The 18,059-nt window shown below is 39.1% G+C and overlaps 1 protein-coding gene across 7 annotated transcripts in view; it reads right to left on the bottom strand.

Annotated features, from left to right (window-relative positions):
- PKP2 (plakophilin 2) overlaps positions 372-18,059 on the bottom strand; it is a 106,023-nt gene continuing 88,335 nt past the window's right edge. For 5 of the 7 annotated variants that reach the window (NM_001407156.1, NM_001005242.3, NM_004572.4 and 2 more), the window contains 4 exons: positions 12,020-12,173; positions 5,726-5,915; positions 2,261-2,348; positions 372-2,109 (listed from right to left, as the gene is read on the bottom strand). In NM_001407156.1, coding sequence (NP_001394085.1) covers positions 2,041-2,109; positions 2,261-2,348; positions 5,726-5,915; positions 12,020-12,173 — 501 coding nt within the window. In that variant the 3' untranslated portion in view covers positions 372-2,040. The remainder of the gene's footprint in view (positions 2,110-2,260; positions 2,349-5,725; positions 5,916-12,019; positions 12,174-18,059) is intronic. The other 2 variants (NM_001407155.1, NM_001407160.1) reach the window with 1 other exon arrangement.

Raw genomic sequence — 18,059 nt, forward strand, 5'->3', positions numbered from 1 at the left:
AGTGAGGTGTTTGCAAACAGAGTGAACAAAGCAGCACATGGAAATCAAACGTAGTCTGTCTTTTCACAGTCACAGAATCACCCAATAATATACTAAAATCTAACCGCAGCTAACACGTCTGCATGTGTCTTCATTTTTATGGTCAGGTCACCATCTAGTCCCACCATTCTCACAGGAAATGTCTCTTGGTAAAAATTTAGGATTTTAATTAAGGGGAAAATATAACTAATTACAAAGTATCAAACCCTTAGTAATTGAAGTTTATAAGGTTAAATCCTCAAATTTTATGTCAATCATACCATATATTCCAAGATACACAAATAAACCAGATATACACAGACGCCAATGCAAGCAACACTACTTTGGTCTCATTTTGTATTTAATATTATCGAAGGCTTTATTAATGCCTTAAAAAACACAAAAAGTTCTGAACACACATTTATTATCTGGAGGAATAAATGCACTCCAAATGCTTATCATCAGAACTCTGGAAAAAGACATATAAATTCTCTCCAGTATTTTAAAAATTGGTATCTAAATAATTTCATTTTGAACTAGGTTAGCAACCTAAGTTGTCTTCATTCAGCTTTTAAAATTGAAAAAAAATTGCTTCAAATATAATAAAGACTTAAGTACACATTCAAAATTTATTTTCTGTTACAGTTTTCTTGCCAAAAGGAGTTGAAGAATTTTTTTGCTTATCTTACTTAGGACAAATGTTGTCAGATTAAAAAAAAAAATAACAGAATAGTAGTTGTAAAGACTAACTCTATATGAATGGTTTTAATCATAGCGCAGTTAAAACAACATTTAATGTAGATTCATTTCGCTGGATGATGTCAACCATTTAAAATATCAGTATTTCTCATATCATTTCTGGATGGTCTTGACACATTCTTACATCTTCTTCAACATGACTTCTTCACTTTTCTTCTCTAGAGTTTTCTTGAGTTAAAATAATGGCTTGAAGAAGATCATATGAGATCTAGTGGCTCTGTGATATTTCTTAAATGGTGGGCAAGGCTGGGCTGGCTGATAATGTAACTCATTAACATGAGCCGTATTTTCAGTGCCCCAGGCTGGCCAGGCAGTCTGAGAGAAGGCCTTAGTTCCTCTTGCAGATAAAGATAGAGTCCATTCTTTCACTAGTCCAGGGCAGTGGCCAAAAAAGTCCAGGAAAGGCATTACATAGAATGCCATCGTTTAGAAGAGATTTGGATTTAACGGCGTTGTTATAGGTAAAGTATCTCCTGAGAAAAATCTCATTGACTCAGTGTTTGGGGGAACGTTAAATTTTATCATCACAGTTGCCTTTCTCTGTGGAAAAGATTTTATTTATTTATTTATTTTTTATTTTACTTTAAGTTCTGGGAGGAAAAGACTTCTTTAATTTGCTATGATCACTTCCTCTCAATTTCTTTTTCTTACAGTCATGCATACTCTGTAATCTAAATTTCTTAAGTTTATTTAAAAATCAGAGAAAAACAACCCAAGGGGATAAAAACAAGCACAAAGTAAAGAAAGAAACCAATAATTTTGCCATTATACTTTCTCCTGGATAACTGCAGATATTTCTTGTCATTTCCATTCTGTTTCAACACTGCAGAACAATACACTGGAGGCCCAATGGCGAAGCAATGTGCACATGAGTGACAAAACATGGGAACCAGAAAAGGAATATAAATGTAAATCAAACTTTTAAAATCCCAGTAATGCAACAGCTTCTTTCCTTATTTATTGGATTAATGTCCCTTCCACATGAATTCACATTTTGATTCCAGGAAGCCATGTACCATAAGCCCTAATAACAAAGACCACTATTTGTCGAGCCTGTGGCCGGTATCTACTGGTGGCAAACTTGCAAAGGTCTTCTGGAAGACTCATAAAATTATGTTCTATTTGTTTTCTGGATTCAGGGGACCACGGAAATAGAGAAGGATAGAAACAAGGCATGCTTTTGAGGTTTCTTGGGCTGGGTAGTAGAAAAATAGGTGTTTTCCTTTGGGGATTTTTGCAGCCGAGAATACTTTGTCATTTTCCTCAGTCTTTAAGGGAGTGGTAGGCTTTGGCAGTCCGGCTGTTGACAAAATCTGTCTTCTTAAACTGAGCCTTTGGAATAAGCAAACAGAAACGTGAAAGGTAACAAAACTGGCACACAAGAAAATGCAGTTTTTTAGCGATTTCTTCCCAGGGTCAAGTCAAGTGGGCCATTATTACCTGGCTCTGTTAACTATGACACATTCCTTGTTCATGTTCTTACCTTCTTGTAGGCATGATGCAGTTCCGTGTGTGCCCACAGAGAATACAGAAGGACGGAAGCAGCTTTACTTGCTTTGTTGGAGGCATAGCTGAAAAGAAAAGGACATTCTGAGATCAGGGAGAATGAGTGAGGCTTCTGGATGCGGCCTGTGGGTGTTCTGTAAGACCTCTTCGCTCCTCAACTGCTACTCCGCAGCAGCCATCCATGAAGTCAGGCCACTCGGTGACCAGACAATTAGGCAGCAAGCTCTGCAAGGCGGGGACCATATCTGTTTTTGTTTTCTTTTTAAACCACTAGCACAGTGCTAATAAATAAATAGTTTATAGGCCAGGTGGGGTGGCTCACGCCTGTAATCCCAGCACTTTTGGGAGGCTGAGGTGGGTAGATCACGAGGTCAGACCATCCTGGCCAACATGGTGAAACCCCGTCTGTACTAAAAATACAAAATCTAGCTGGGCGTGGCAGTGTGTGCCTGTAATCCCAGCTACTCGGGAGGCTGAGGCAGGAGAATCACTTGAACCCGGGAGGCGGAGGTTGCAGTGAGCCGAGATCACGCCACTGCACTCCAGCCTGGTGACAAAGCTAGACTCCATCTCAAAATAATAATAATAATAATAAACAAACAAGTAATTTATACAGAAAAATCCCTGATATTTATAAGGAATGTATCTTTAGATATGTTATAAATCCTTGAATTATTTATAGAATATAATCTATATTTGTATACTTATAATGTATGTTTATAGAATAAAAATGCATGAAACCATGACTGAAAAATACATACGATTTTGTGACATCATGAATGTAGGAGTAATTTTTCAAGTCAATAAAAGAAATTCTTGTGGCAGCCCTTGTTAAAGCAGTTTCAAAATCTCTTTACGTTTCCATATAGAGCAAATGGAAAACTTGTTCTTGCTATAAATCAAAGTCACCACTGCATTTGAACTGTACTTAGTCTTTCATATTCTGCTTTTTTTTTTTTTTTTTTTTTTTTGAGGCTGGAGTGCAGTGGAGCGATCTCGGCTCACTGCAACCTCCGTCTCCCAGGTTCAAGCGATTCTCCTGCCTCAGCCTCCGAAGTAGCTGGGACTACAGGCGCATGCCACCACGCCAGGCTAATTTTTTGTATTTTTAGTAGAGATGGGGTTTCACTGTGTTAGCCAGGGTGGTCTCGATCTCCTGACTTCATGATCCGCCTGCCTCGGCCTCTCATAGTGCTGGGATTACAGATGTGAGCCACTGTGCCCAGCCCATGTTCTGCTTTTAACTTTATCCTAAATGTCCCACCTCTGGCTTAGATCAGTGCCGCCTTAGATCTCTTTCTCTTCTATCACCTGATTAGCACATGGCTGATTTTTTTTCTTAAACAAAGATTCTTTTTCCCCCCATATCACAGGCATTTGTAAACATAAAACCAAAACCAGAGAGTGCAAAGATGTACGGAGAAGAGCATGGTGTGTTCCTTCAAGAGTGAAAAGTCTTTCTCCTCCATACTAGCCTGGCAGGGAGGAGCAGTCAAATCAGCACTTATTAGTAACCCCTGGACTTTTCAGAATCACTTGGTAATAACTGAAGGGCAAATAAATCCATCAAAGTGATGGGTCTCTAATATTCAAAACTGTAAAAAGTTATTAAATTGCAAGGCTGTTATATTCATAATATTTGTTTATAAGTTGGTTGTTTGATACTTGGTACTCTTTTATTCAAAGATGTAATGTTATAAATGATAATTAGTTCCCAGGCTAGTCCACAAACGGTAGGTCAGATATATAACACTCTAGTAAGGAAAGAGCAGCAGACACCACTGGCAAGAAGCTCCTTGTTAACTTTTGTTTTTGAGACAGGGCATGTGAGGACTCACAAGTGGACACTCGGAAATAAACAAGTAACAGAGTAGCTCACCCCTTATCTTGCTAAGCTACCAGAAGTTTCCAAAAGTAATTGCATATTGCCATGTGCAACAATTGTTATGTCTGAATACTCGAATAATGAGCATCATACTATCTTACGGTGATTTGCTTGGAAGTTTGGATGACTATTTGGAAGAAAAGTCATTTCTGTTTTGCAACAGTAATTCACTCTTTCCACAAAGACTGAGCAACTCTAATACTATCTGCCAGCCTCTGGGGATGGGTGAATATTCTTGGGGAACTGACACTCCAGCCAGTGCTCAGGGCTTGTTTTAATCTGACTCTAAATGCAGTCTTCCTTCCTTGTGTGCACTGCAGAGTGGGGCTGCAGAGCAGAAGGGGCCTAAATTGGGTGGGGCTGTAGTAGAGGTAACATGTACATCCCTGTACAGCCAAGCACACATTTCTTCAGTACAGGTGAAGTCATCTGCTTTGTAACTCATTAAAACTAGGCTATCATAGCCATTTCTTTTCTTGTTTGGTTATTTACAAAAGTAACATATCTATTTGTAATAAGTCAAACAATTCAGAATTGTATAAAGAGAAAAAGATAATCTTCATGCCCCTTTCCAATCTCATCACTCTAAATTAACTAATAGTAAATAATTTGGTTATACAAGGTTTTTCATTCTCCTCCTTTTTTTTTTTAATAGGGAAAAGTTGAAAACAGGAACACAGATGTGGAATGACATGCATTGGACCTTCTATTATCAAAAGGGAATAAGATGCGGAAGAGATAAGACAGAGAAAAAACTGTGAAAGCAAGACTTTCTCATCAGGCTACCCCCTGACTGCTTCTCCTGTGTCATCACTGCTGCTGCTGCTTTTTTTTTTTTTTCTTTTTTGAGACAGAATCTCACTCTGTCAACCAGGCTGGAGTGCAGTGGCACGATCACGGCTCATTGCAACCTCTGCCTCCTGGGCTCAAGTGATTCTCAAACCTCAGTCTTCCAAGTAGCTAGAATTACAGACACGCACCACCACACCCAGCTAATTTTTGTATTTTTACTAGAGACAGGGTTTTGCCATGTCGGCCAGGCTGGTCTCGAACTTCTGACCTCAAGTGATCCATCTGCTTGGGCCTCCCAAAGTGCTGGGATTACAGGCATGAGCCACTGTGCCCAGCCCATCACTGCTTCTTCTAAACCACCTGGTGTGACATCCCCTCCTAAGATGGAAGTGAGGAAAAGGGCACTTGCCTATTCAGAGGACTCCTGCTTTGCCTACATTCTGCTGTTATTAAATCACAGCTGTGGCTTTGGGAAACTAATTCATTAGGCCAATACAATGCTGGAATGCACAACCAAGAGAAGTTCTGGAGTCTGACCCTCTGTTGATACTTTAGAAGAGAAGGGACAAGCATGTGGTGTGGTGGATTCAGTTCTTTCCTTGGCTGATCACTGAGGGCTGACCAGATGATCTGGCCTGGCTTTACATCCTGTTTGCTGCCATGTTGCACATGATGGTCATGACCGCACATTCACAACCGGATTATTTACACACAGGCTGGTGAGGGGAAAGGGAGGCAGCTGACGGGCAGAACTGAAGGACTTACGCATCGCCTGCACTAATGGCCATAATTTTCTGGATGCCCCCGGTGTTTAGAAGGTCGCGTGCATTCTGGTAACTGTTTTGGATTATGTTGTTCAATGTGTAACAGGCAGAGGCTGTAGTTTCAATGAGAAGGTCAGTACTCGGGACTGTGTCAGGAATGATGGAAACCAAATCAGGGAGAGTTTCTTTGGCTACAAAATGAAAAAAAAAACAAAACACTTGATTAAAAAGATTGTTTCTTAATCCCAAGATCCCAATATATTTTGGGTGAAGAACATTCTTTTTCTTTTTTTGAGACGGAATCTTGCTCTGTTGCCCAGGCTGGAGTGCAGTGGCACCATCTTGGCTCACTGCAAGCTCTGCCTCCCGGGTTCACGCCATTCTCTTGCCTCAGCCTCCCGAGTAGTTGGGACTACAGGCACCCGCCACCACGCCTGGCTAATTTTTTTATTTTTTTATTTTTTTTTATTTTCAGTAGAGACGGAGTTTCACCGTGTTAGCCAGGATGGTCTCGATCTCCTGACCTCGTGATCCGCCAGCCTCGGCCTCCCAAAGTGCTGGGATTACAGGCGTGAGACACTGCGCCCGGCCAAGAACTTTCTTAAAAAGAAACACAGCTGGTTAACAACACATGGAAAGATGTAATTTCCCTAATAACAAATTTTTAAAAATATTTGAAAAGAGGATACTCTGTGCTCAGTATATTGAAAATCTTTTCAGAGTGTAATTTGGCAGAAATGTCAAGAACTTAAAACATTTTCATCTTCTTCAATTCGGTAATTCCATGTCTAGGAATACATCTTAAAAATATCACTTTGAAAATGAAAAAAGCTTTCTACAGAGATCTTTATGACAGTACTACATGTAACTGAAAAACTAAAAAGCCTGAATATCCTTATAATAGGACTATGATTAACTAAAACACACCTGCAAAGACTATTATTCATCACAAAACCTATCTATGAAGCATGTATAATAAAAAGAAAATAATTATGTTAATAGTGTATGTGAAAAATCAGTATATTTATATAAATAATACATAATATTATTGGCCAGGTTCGGTGGCTCACACCTGTAATCCCAGCACTTTGGGAGGCTGAGGTGGGTGGATCACTTAAGGTCAGGAGTTCAGGACCAGCCTGGCCAACATGGTGAAACCCTGTCTCTATTAAAAATACAAAAATTAGCTGGGCGTAGTGGCACATGCCTGTGCCTGTAGTCCCTGCTACTCAGGAGGCTGAGGCACAAGAATTGCTTGAGCTTGGGAGGCAGAAGTGGCAGTGGGCAGAGATCACGCCACTATTCTCCAGCCTGGGCAACAGAGAGAGACCCTGTCTCAAAAAAAAAAAAAAAAAGAATACATACTATTACCAAAAAACCCACGTAAGAAACCTGAGGAAAAATGTTAATAGGAGCTGTTTTTCTACAACAATATTAATAGTGAACTAAAATCTTTTTTTTTTTTTGAAACAGAGTCTTGCTCTGTCACCCAGGCTGGAGTGCAGTGGCGCGATCTCGGCTCTCTGCAAGCTCCGCCTCCCGGGTTCATGCCATTCTCCTGCCTCAGCCTCCCGAGTAGCTGGGATTACAGGTGCCCGCCACCACGCCGGGCTAATTTTTTTGTATTTTTAGTAGAGACGGGGTTTCACCTTGTTAGCCAGGATGATCTTGATCTCCTGATCTTGTGATCCGCCCGCCTGGGCCTCCCAAAGTGCTGGGATTAGAAGCGTGAGCTACCGCGCCTGGCCAAGCTAAAATCATTTTTAAGGCCAGGCAAGGTAGCTCATGTCTGTAATCCCAGCACTTTAGAAGGCCGAGACAGGAGGATCACTTGAGCCCAGGAGTTTGAGACCAGTCTGGAAAATATAATGAGACCCCGTCTCTATTTTAAAAAGTAAAATTAAATAGTAAATAAATAATAAACGAATAATCTTTGCTTCCCAAGGTTTTTCCAATACATAAGTAATACTACTCTTGTTTTTTTTTTTTTTTTGGAGATGGAGTTTCGCTCTTGTTGCCCAGGCTGGAGTGCAATGGCACGATCTCATCTCACTGCAACCTCCGCCTCCCAGGTTCAAGCAATTCTCCTGCCTCAGCCTCCCGAGTAGCTAGGATTACAGGTACGCACCACCATGCCCGGCTAATTTTTTGTATATTTTTTTTTTCAGTAGAGATGGGGTTTCTCCATGTTGAGGCTGGTCTCGAACTCCTGACCTCAGGTGATCTGCCCGCCTCAGCCTCCCAAACTGCTGGGATTACAGGCGTGAGCCACTGCGCCTGGCCTACTATTTTAAAAAGAGAAATAAACTATTTTAAATGTACTTTTCTACTATGTATATAACTTCTTGGTTATAAGTTTTGAGTTTGGCTTTTTTTTTTTGTACTAACAAGAAAGGTATTAAAAAAATAGACATGCCACTTTCACAATTAGGCTATAGAAAATAAAAAAGATACATAGACCAATGGAATAGAATAGAAAACCCAGAAATAAAGCAAAATACTTACAGCCAACTGATCTTTGACAAAGCAAACAAAAACATTAAGTGGGGAAAGGCCACCCTATTCAACATATTCAACAAATGATGCTGGGATAATTGGCAAGCCACATGTAAAAGAATAAAGCTGGATCCTCATCTCTCACTTTATACAAAAATCAACTCAAGATGGATCAAAGATTAAATCTGAGACCTGAAACCATAAAAATTCTAGAAGATAACACTGGAAAAACTCTTCTAGACATTGGCTTAGGCAAAGAGTTCATGACCAAGAACCCAAAAGCAAATGCAACAAAACCAAAAATAAGTAAATGGGATCCAATTAAACTAAAAAGCTTCTGCACAGCAAAATAAATAATCAGCAGAGTAAACAGACACCCCACAGAGTGGGAGAAAATATTCACAAACTGCATTCGACAAAGGACTAATATCCAGAATCTACAAGGATCTCAAAAAAGCAAGAAAAAAGCCAAATAATTCCATCAAAAAGTGGGCTAAGGACATGAATAGACAATTCTCAAAAGAAGATATACAAATGGCATAAGAAAAATTTTTTGATACGCCTCATACATATGAAAAAATGCTCAACATCACTAATTATCATGGAAATGCAAATTAAAAGCACAATGAGATACCACCTTACTCCTGCAAGAATGACCATAATTTAAAAATCAAAATTTAATAGATGTTGGCATGGATATGGTGAAAAGGGAACACTTCTACACTGCTGGTGGGAATGTAAACTAGTACAACCACTATGGAAAACAGTATAGAGATTCCTTAAAGAACTAAAAGTAGAACTACCATTTGATCCAGCAATACCACTACTGGGTATCTACCCAAAGGAAAAGAAGTCATTATATGAAAAAGACACTTGTACATGCATGTTTATAGCAGCACAATTCACAATTGCAAAATATGGAGCCAACCTAAATGCCCATCAACCAACGAGTGGATACAGGAAATGTGGTATATACACACCATGGAATACTACTCAGCCATTAAAAAGAAAGACATAATGGCCTTTGCGGCAAATTGGATGGAATTAGAGACCACTATTCTAAGTGAAATAACTCAGGAATGGAAAACCAAATATTGGATGTTCTCACTTATAAGTGAGAGCTAAGCTATGAGGATGCAAAGGAACAAGAGTTATATAATGGATTTTGGGGACTTGGGGGAAAGGTAGGAAGGGGTGAGGGATAAAAGACTACACATTGGGTACAGTGTACACTGCTCAGGTGACATGTGCACCAACATTTCAGAAATAATCACTAAATAACTTTTGCATGTAACTGAACACCACCTGTACCCAAAAATCTATTGAAAATTCTTAAAAGGTGTTAATATTTGATAAATCCACTGGAACTTGTCCTATGGTACATATTTTGGTCAATGTGAACTTGTGCTTAAACTTTTTGTAATAGTTATTTTCATGTATGTTTTCCTCTTTTTCCTCTAACCACTTTAGACTCTTCTTAAAAGATAGAGAGCATGCATCTTTTGCTTTTGCTGATCCCCACAGCTTCTGAATACGTGTTGTGTTTATCAGCAATTAACAAATACTGCCTAATTTTATTGTGTGCCTTCATCTGTGTTCATGTGGCATCTTGAAGCACATTTCTCTCTCTATGATACTGATAGTAATGAATTGTGTGACTGTCTCAACTTCAGATGAGGCTGTGGGTTCCTTGAAGCCAATTATCTTACTTATTTCTGTGTTTACAGCGTTGATCATTATTCCTGAAATGGACAAGTACTCAATAAAAGGCACTGAATGATATGTCATCATAATACCTGGACCTGATTGACAGGTAAGACATACCTTTTGCTCACAGGCCTGAACACTTTCCTTTTGACTGTGGTTCAAGCACACAGCATACTGTGGAGAGCTCAGCGTTCATCTAAAGCCAGAGTGCTGTAGTTTCAGTCCTGGTTCTGCTACTTTACAGCTCTATGGCCTGAGCAAGCTACTTAATGTCTCTATTTGTTTTTCCCTAAGTTGCAATGTGGGATAATAATGTCTACGTCACAGGGTTGTTCTGAGGGAACGAGTCAATGCATGTTAATTGTATTGCAGTACTGCGCATGTGGTAAGCTCTCAGTGGATGCTATTATCAGAAGTCTCCCTCCTTTTAGTAAGTTAAACTACAGAATGAAAGGCCTTGACTGGCAAAATAGCACTGTGAGATACAAACCCATGTTTTCTGTGTGAAATCTGTTATTCTGTTACCATGCTCCATTGCCTGTCTTTAAGTTTTTGAGAAAATGTAAGTTTCAAGTTTATTTCTCTAGATGTAAGTAAAACATAACAACTTTATTGCAGGTGAGAACAGGGAAAGTTACCTGGCTTAGAAAGCTCTCATGAGAAACACAAAGCATGTGTTCAAGCTGACTTTCACTTATTTCTTGCTATTAAAATTCTGAATTAAGAGAAGTCCTTTTACTTATATATTTGACATGAAGCCAATCTGGAATTTTAAAATAGCATTTATCTTGCTGAAGCCTCTTTTCTCTGTTATCCTTAAAGTGAAGTTTATCAACAGAATCCTCTAATATAAACCATGTGGCTACAGCTATACCTTCCCGACATTTAGGGGACTGCAGAACCTGAGGCCAACAGCATTTCTGCCCTGAAGGTACATGCTTAATGTGTATAGTGCTGTTATTTACCTTGGTGGTGTTTTAAAGATGGAGTCAATTTTTCATTTGGGAAAAGAACAAAAAAGGGAAAGGATAATACACTGCCATTGAAGTTCAGCACAAAAGACCATGGGGAGAGCATTTTAATAATTCTGAGAGTGCCTATGGCGAGGTCTCTTTCAGATTCACTGAGAATGTTCCAGGCTTATCTCTACTTAGAATGAGCATGAAGCCATTGCATAAAACCTCCTGTCAAATGTGCTGCTGGCTGGCTTTGAAAATGACATTACTAAAACATAACTGCAGCCTTTAATATCTCTGGGGCTATATATGTGCATATTTAAAAATCTAATCCATTAAAACAGGCAAAATATTGTTTATAATTTTTGTGAAATGTGAAAAACCGAATTTGAGTTGTTAGAAACGACCGATTACAGAGCATTATGAAGCATGTTTAATTTTAGCATTATCTTTCTATCATCTCATTTTGTAATTTTCTACTAGATACAACAAACATTTATCACATACTTCTTGGTATAAGCAAACAAATAAAAAAGTACCGTTATCATCTCTGTCAATAATACAGTCAAAGGCAAAATATGTCTCATCACAGTTACTCAAAAAAAATCCATGCCAAATTTGCTATATTCAGTGACTCCTTGTCTTTTTATTGTGATTATCTGTTTATCCATTTTTTTAATAGTCCAACACACTGCCAAACTACTAAAGTAAACCACCACTATATGTGTTTTTCAAATGTTCTAGAATTGTGGTGCTTAAGAGAGCCACAGAGAGAACATTCTGAAAGACAACTATATGGATTAGAAAGACTTCATTGGATGGTGTGACTGAGGGTGCCACCCAGTGAAAAATATCAACAATATTACTTATCTTGTTAATTATTAGTATGCTCTAAAATTTCTCTTTTGTAGTAATTTTTTTTTTAAATGTTGGATATTTAAAAAAAATCTCTGGTGAGATCCACTGAGAAAGCCTGTTTGTGATATCTGGTGGCACAAAAGGCAGGCCGGTTTATCACCTACTCCTTACTCCCATTTCCAGTGCATCTTTGTGAACGGGAGGTGATACAGACAACATTTCATTGCATTGTATCTTCAGCATGTACATATTACACATAGATACTTATACCGACTCACCAATTTCATTCTGCAGAGAAAGATTCCGGGACAGATTCCTCAGCAGCGAGATGGCTGTCTTTTTCACACTTGGGTCACCAACATGCAGCATCTTTCGGGTGTGCTGCAGGCCACTTTCCTTCTGGACAACTGTCTGAGCCACTGATGTCGGCATCTGTTTTGTGAGACATATCCTATAAGTGCTATTGTATTTGATTTCACGATAACATTAAGTTTTCTGTAGATTACCAGAGGTTGATGAAGATGTTTTATTTTTATCTTATTTATTTATTTTGAGACAAAGTCTCTCTCTGTCATTCAGGCTGGAGTGCAGTGGTGTGATCTCAGCTCACCACAACCTCCACCTCCCAGGTTCAAGTGATTCTCCTGCCTCAGCCTCCAGACTAGCTGGGATTACAGGTGTGTGCCACCACGCCCAGCTAATTTTTTGGAATTTTAGTAGAGATGGTGTTTCACCATGTTGGCCAGGCTGGTCTCGAACTCCTGACTCAGGTGATCCACCTGCCTCAGCCTCCTAAAGTGTTGGGATTACAGGCGTGAACCACCATGCCCAGCCGAAGATGTTTTAAAAATTAGAACTGTGATGGAACTAGTCTAAAGGTATTTTCTTTAAACTCTTATTAAGTTTTCAAGTCAATTACTAGATAAAAACCTGTTTATTCAGTACTTTTAAATGCAATCTTGGGGCCGGGTGTGGTGGCTCACACCTGTAATCCCAGCACTTTGGGAGGCCAAAGCTGGCTGATCACCTGAGGCCAGGAGTTCAAGACCAGCCTGGCCAACATGGTGAAACCCTGTCTTTACTAAAAAATACAAAAATATTAGCCAGGCGTGGTGGCACGTGCCTGTAGTCCCAGCTACTCAAGAGGCTGGGGCAGGAGAATCGCTTGAACCTGGGAGACAGAGGTTGCAGAGAGCCAAGATCATGCCACTGCGCTCAGCCTGGGTGACAGAGTGACAGTGTCTAAACAAACAAACAAACAAACAAACAAATGCAATGCAATGTTGGATTTAATTAGGTTATTAACATTTTTTCCATCTGTGTTTATAAATAAAATGGATTTCCCTTTTCCTTTTCTTGTACTACCCTTTTCACTTTTAGAATCAAGGTTATACTAACATCATTAAGTTAGTTGGGTAGTATTTAATCTTTTTCTATCTCCTTTAGCTATTTGTGTAATACAAGTAATCTCTTCTTTTGGTAGAATTTAGCCATACAGATTGAATATCCCTTCACTGAAATGCTTGAGACCAGAAGTGTTTTGGTTTTTTTCAGATTTTGGAATATTTGCAAATATATAATGAAATATCTTGGGGATGAGAACCAAGTCTAAATATGAAATTCATTTATCTTTCATATGCACCTTACGCTCATAGCCTAGAGGTCATTTTATCCAATATTTGTAATAATTCTGTGCATGAAATAGTTTATATACGAGGAGCCACTGGAAAGCAAAGGTGTCACTAACTCAGCCACCCATGTGGACAATCTGTGGTTGTTTGGCATCACCATTATTCCTGACTCTGAATTCATGTACTACTGATAAGCAATCATTTTCTTACACTTACACATGTACTTAACAGTTAAAAATATGATATGCCATTAATACAGTTAAAAAAAATAATGTGTTCAGGTAACTAAGAAGCACAGTAGCATCACCAGAATACCTGTCTCAGCTGTTAGACAGCAACAGACAACGGCAGGCTTTCCGTCTCTACCATGCTGTGTTTTGATGGAAAGGTAACTGTCCACTGTATTTTTTGTTTTCAGGTGAGAAGAAACATGAAAAGCAATTGAGGGACCAGGAACTGGGTCCTTTAGGGATGAGGAGGCATTCTGTTGGATGGTTTTGCAAAATGTTGCCTCTAGAGTCATCTGCCTCATTAACAATGGCTTTTTTTCCTTCAACTTTTAAGCTCAGGGGTACATGTGTAGGATGTGTAGGTTTGTTAGACAGGTTAATGTGTACCATGGTGGTTTGCTGCACAGATCATCCAATCACCTAGGTATTAAGCCCAGCGCCCATTAGCTATTCTTCCAGTGATGCTCTCCCTCATCCCCCAACAGGCCCCAGTGTGTGTAGTTCCCCACCAAGTATCCATGTGTTCCCATTGTTCAGCTCCCACTTATAAGTGAGGCCACGTGGTACTTGGCTTTCTGTTCCTACATTAGTTTGCCAAGGATAACAGCCTCCAGCTCCATCCATGTCCCTGCAAAGGACATGATCTCGTTCCTTTTTATGGCTGCACAGTATTCCATGGTGTGTATGTATGACATTTTCTTTATTCAATCTATCACTGGTGGGCATTTGGGTTGATTCCATGTCTTTGCTATTGTGAATAGTGCTGCAATGAACAAACACATGCATGTATCTTTATAAGAGGACGATTTATATTCCTTTGGGTATATACCCAATAATGGGATTGCTGGGTCAAATGGTATTTCTGCCTCTAGATCTTTGAGAAAGCACCACACTGTTCTCCACAATGGTTGAACTAATTTGCACTCCCACCAATGGTGGAAAAGCATTCTTTTTTCTCTGCAACCTTGCCAGCATCTGTTGTTTTTTTGACTTTTTAATAATCACCATTCTGACTGGCATGAGATGGTATCTCACTGTGGTTTTGATTTGCATTTTTCTAATGATCAGTGATGTTGAGCTTTTTTTCACGTTTGTTAACCACATGTACGTCTTCTTTTGAGAAGAGTCTGTTCATGTCCTTTGTCCACTTTTTAATGGGGTTGTTTTTTTTTTTGTCTTGTAAATTTGTTTAGGTTCCTTATAGACTCTGGATATTAGACCTTTGTCAGGAAGATAGATTGTAAACATTTTCTCCCATTTTGTAGGTTGTCTGTTCACTCTGATGATAGTTTCTTTTGCTGTGCAGAAGCTCTTTAGTTTGATTGCATCCCATTTGTCAATTTTTGCTTTCATTGCTATTGCTTTTGGTGTTTTTGTCATGAAATCTTTGCCAGTGCCTATGTCCTGAATGGTATTGCCTAGATTTTCTTCTAGGGTTTTTATAGTTTTGGGTTTTACATTTAAGTCTTTAATCCATCTCGAGTTAATTTTTGTATAAGGTACAAAGAAGGGGTCCAGTTTCAATTTTCTGCATATGACTAGCCAGTTCTCCCAGCACCGTTTATTAAATAGGGAATCCTTTCCCCATTGCTTGCTTTTGTCAGGTTTGTTGAAGATCAGATTGTTGTAGGTGTGCAGTCTTAATTTCTGAGTTCTCTATTCAATTCCATTGGTCTATGTGTCTGCTTTTTGTACCAGTGCCATGCTGTTTTGGTTATGGTAGCCCTGTAACACAGTTTGAAGTCAGGTAGCATGATGCCTCTAGCTTTGATCTTTTTGCTTAGGACTGTCTTGGCTATTCGGCTCTTTTTCAATTCCATATGAATTTTAAAATAGTTTTTTCCAATTCTGTGAAGAATGTCAATGGTAGTCTAACGGGGATAGCATTGAATCTATAAATTACTTTGGGCAGTAGTTTATTGAGAGCTTTTACCATGAAGCGATGTCGAATTTTATCAAAGGCCTTTTCTGCATCTATTGAGATCATGTGGTTTTTGTCTGTAGTTCTGTTTATGTGATGAATCACGTTTATTGATTTGCGAATGTTGAACCAACCTTGCATCCTGGGGATGAAACCCACTTGATGGTGGTGGATAAGCTTTTTGATATGCTGCTAGATTCAGTCTGCCAGTATTTTACTAAGGATTTTTGTATCTATGTTCACCATGGATATTGGCCTGAAGTTTTCTTTTTTTGTTGTATCTCTGCCAGGTTTTGGTATCAGGATGATGCTGGTCTCACACAATCAGTTAGGGAGGAGTCCCTCTTTTTCAATTTTTTGGAACAGTTTCAGTAGAAATGGTACCTACCCGCTCTTTGTACCTCTGGCAGAATTCAGCTGTAAATCTGTCTGGTCCTGGGTTTTTTGTGGTTGGTAGGCTATTTACTACTACCTCAATTTTAGAACTCATTATTGGTCTACTAAGGGATTCGATTTCTTCTTGGTTCAGTCTTGGGAAGGTGTATGCGTCCAGGAGTTTATCCATGTTTTTCTAGATTTTCTAGTTTATGTGCATAGAGGTATTCATAGTATTCTCTGATGGTTGTATGTATTTCTGTGGGGTCAGTGGTGATATCCCACTTATCATTTCTGATTGTGTTATTTGATTCTTCTCTCTTTTCTATTAGTCTAGCTAGTAGATCATCTTATTAATTTTTTTCAAAAAAACAGCTCCTGAATTTGTTGATTTTTTGAAGGGTTTGTGTGTGTGTGTGTGTGTCTGTATCTCCTTCAGTTCCACTCTGATCTTGGCTATTTCTTGCCTTGGGGTTTGTTTGGTCTGGTTTTCTAGTTCTTTTAGTTGTGATGTTAGGTTGATACCTTGAGATCTTTCTAGCTTATTGATCTGGGCATTTAGTGCTACAAATTTCCCTCTTAACACTGCTTTAGCTGTGTCCCAGAGATTCTGGTACACTGTCTCTTTGTTCTCATTAATTTCATACAACTTCTTGACTTCTGCCTTAATTTCGTTATTTATCCACAAGTAATTCAGGAGCAGGCTGTTCAATTTCTATGTACTTGTGTGGTTTTGAGTGAATTTCTTAATCTTGAGTTCTAATTTGGTTGCACCGTTGTCTGAGAGATGGTTTCTTATGATTTCGGTTCTTTTGCATTTGCTAAGGAGTGTTTTACTTCTGATTATGTGAACAAGTTTTGAGTAAGTGCTGTAGGGTGAGAAGAAGAATGAATATTCTGTTGTTTTTTGGTGGAGAGTTCTGTAGATATCTATCAGGTCCGCTTGATCCAGAGCTGAGTTAACTCTTCTTGTTGAATTGAACCCTTTACCATTATATAATGCCCTTCTTTGTCTTTTTTTGATCTTTGCTGGTGTAAAGTCTGTTTTGTCAGAACTAGGATTGCAACCCTTGCTTTTTTCTGTTTTCCATTTGCTTGGTAAATTTTCCTCCATCTCTTTATTTTGAGCCTAAGTGTGTCTTTGCATGTGAGATGGGTCTCTTGAAGACAGCACACCAATGGGGGTTGGCTCTTTATCCAGTTTGCCATTTTGTGTCTTTCAATTGGTGCATTTAGCCCGTTTACATTTAAGGCTAGTATTGTTATGTGTGAATTTGATTCTGTCATCATGATGCTAACTGGTTATTTTGCAGACTTGTTTATGTGGTTGCTTCATACTGTCACTGGTCTGTGTACTTCAGTGTGTTTTCATAGTGGCTGGTAATGGTTTTTCCTTTCCACATTTAGTGCTTCCTTCAGGAGCTTTTGCATGGTAGGCCTGGTATTGACGAATTCCCTCAACATTTGCTTGTCTGAAAAGGATCTTATTTCTCTTTTGTTTATGAAGGTTAGTTTGGCTGAAAATGAAATTCTGGGTTGGAAATTCTTTTCTTTAAGAATTTTAAATATTGGCCCCCAATCTCTTCTGGCTTGTAGGGTTTCTGCTGAGAAGTCTGCTGTTAGTCTCATGGGCTTACCTTTGTAGGTGACCTGGCCTTTCTCTCTGGCTGCCCTTAACACTTATTCTTTCATTTTGACCTGGAATCTGATAAGTATGTGTCTTGGATAATCTTCTCATGGAGTATCCTACTGGGGTTCTCTCCATTTCCTGAATTTGAATGTTGGCCTGTCTTGATAGGTTGGGGTAATTCTACTGGATGATATACTAAAGTATGTTTTCCAACTTGGTTCTGTTCTCCCTGTCTCCTTCAGGTACCCCAGTCAGTTGCAGGTTCCATCTCTTTACATAATCCCACATTTCTTGGAGGTTTTGTTCATTCCTTTTCATTCTTTTTTCTCTATTCTTGTCTGCCTGTCTTATTTCAGAAAGATAGTCTTCAAGGTCTGAGATCCTTTCCTCCACTTGGTCTCTTCTGCTGTTGATACTTGTGATTGCACTGTGAAGTTCTCATGTTATATTTTTCAGCTCCATCAAGTCAGTTATGTTCCTCTCTAAACTGGCTATTCTGGTTATCAGCTCCTGTATTGTTTTATCATGATT

Source organism: Homo sapiens, chromosome 12 (assembly GCF_000001405.40).
Source record: "Homo sapiens chromosome 12, GRCh38.p14 Primary Assembly".
NCBI classification, from domain to species: Eukaryota; Metazoa; Chordata; class Mammalia; order Primates; family Hominidae; genus Homo; species Homo sapiens.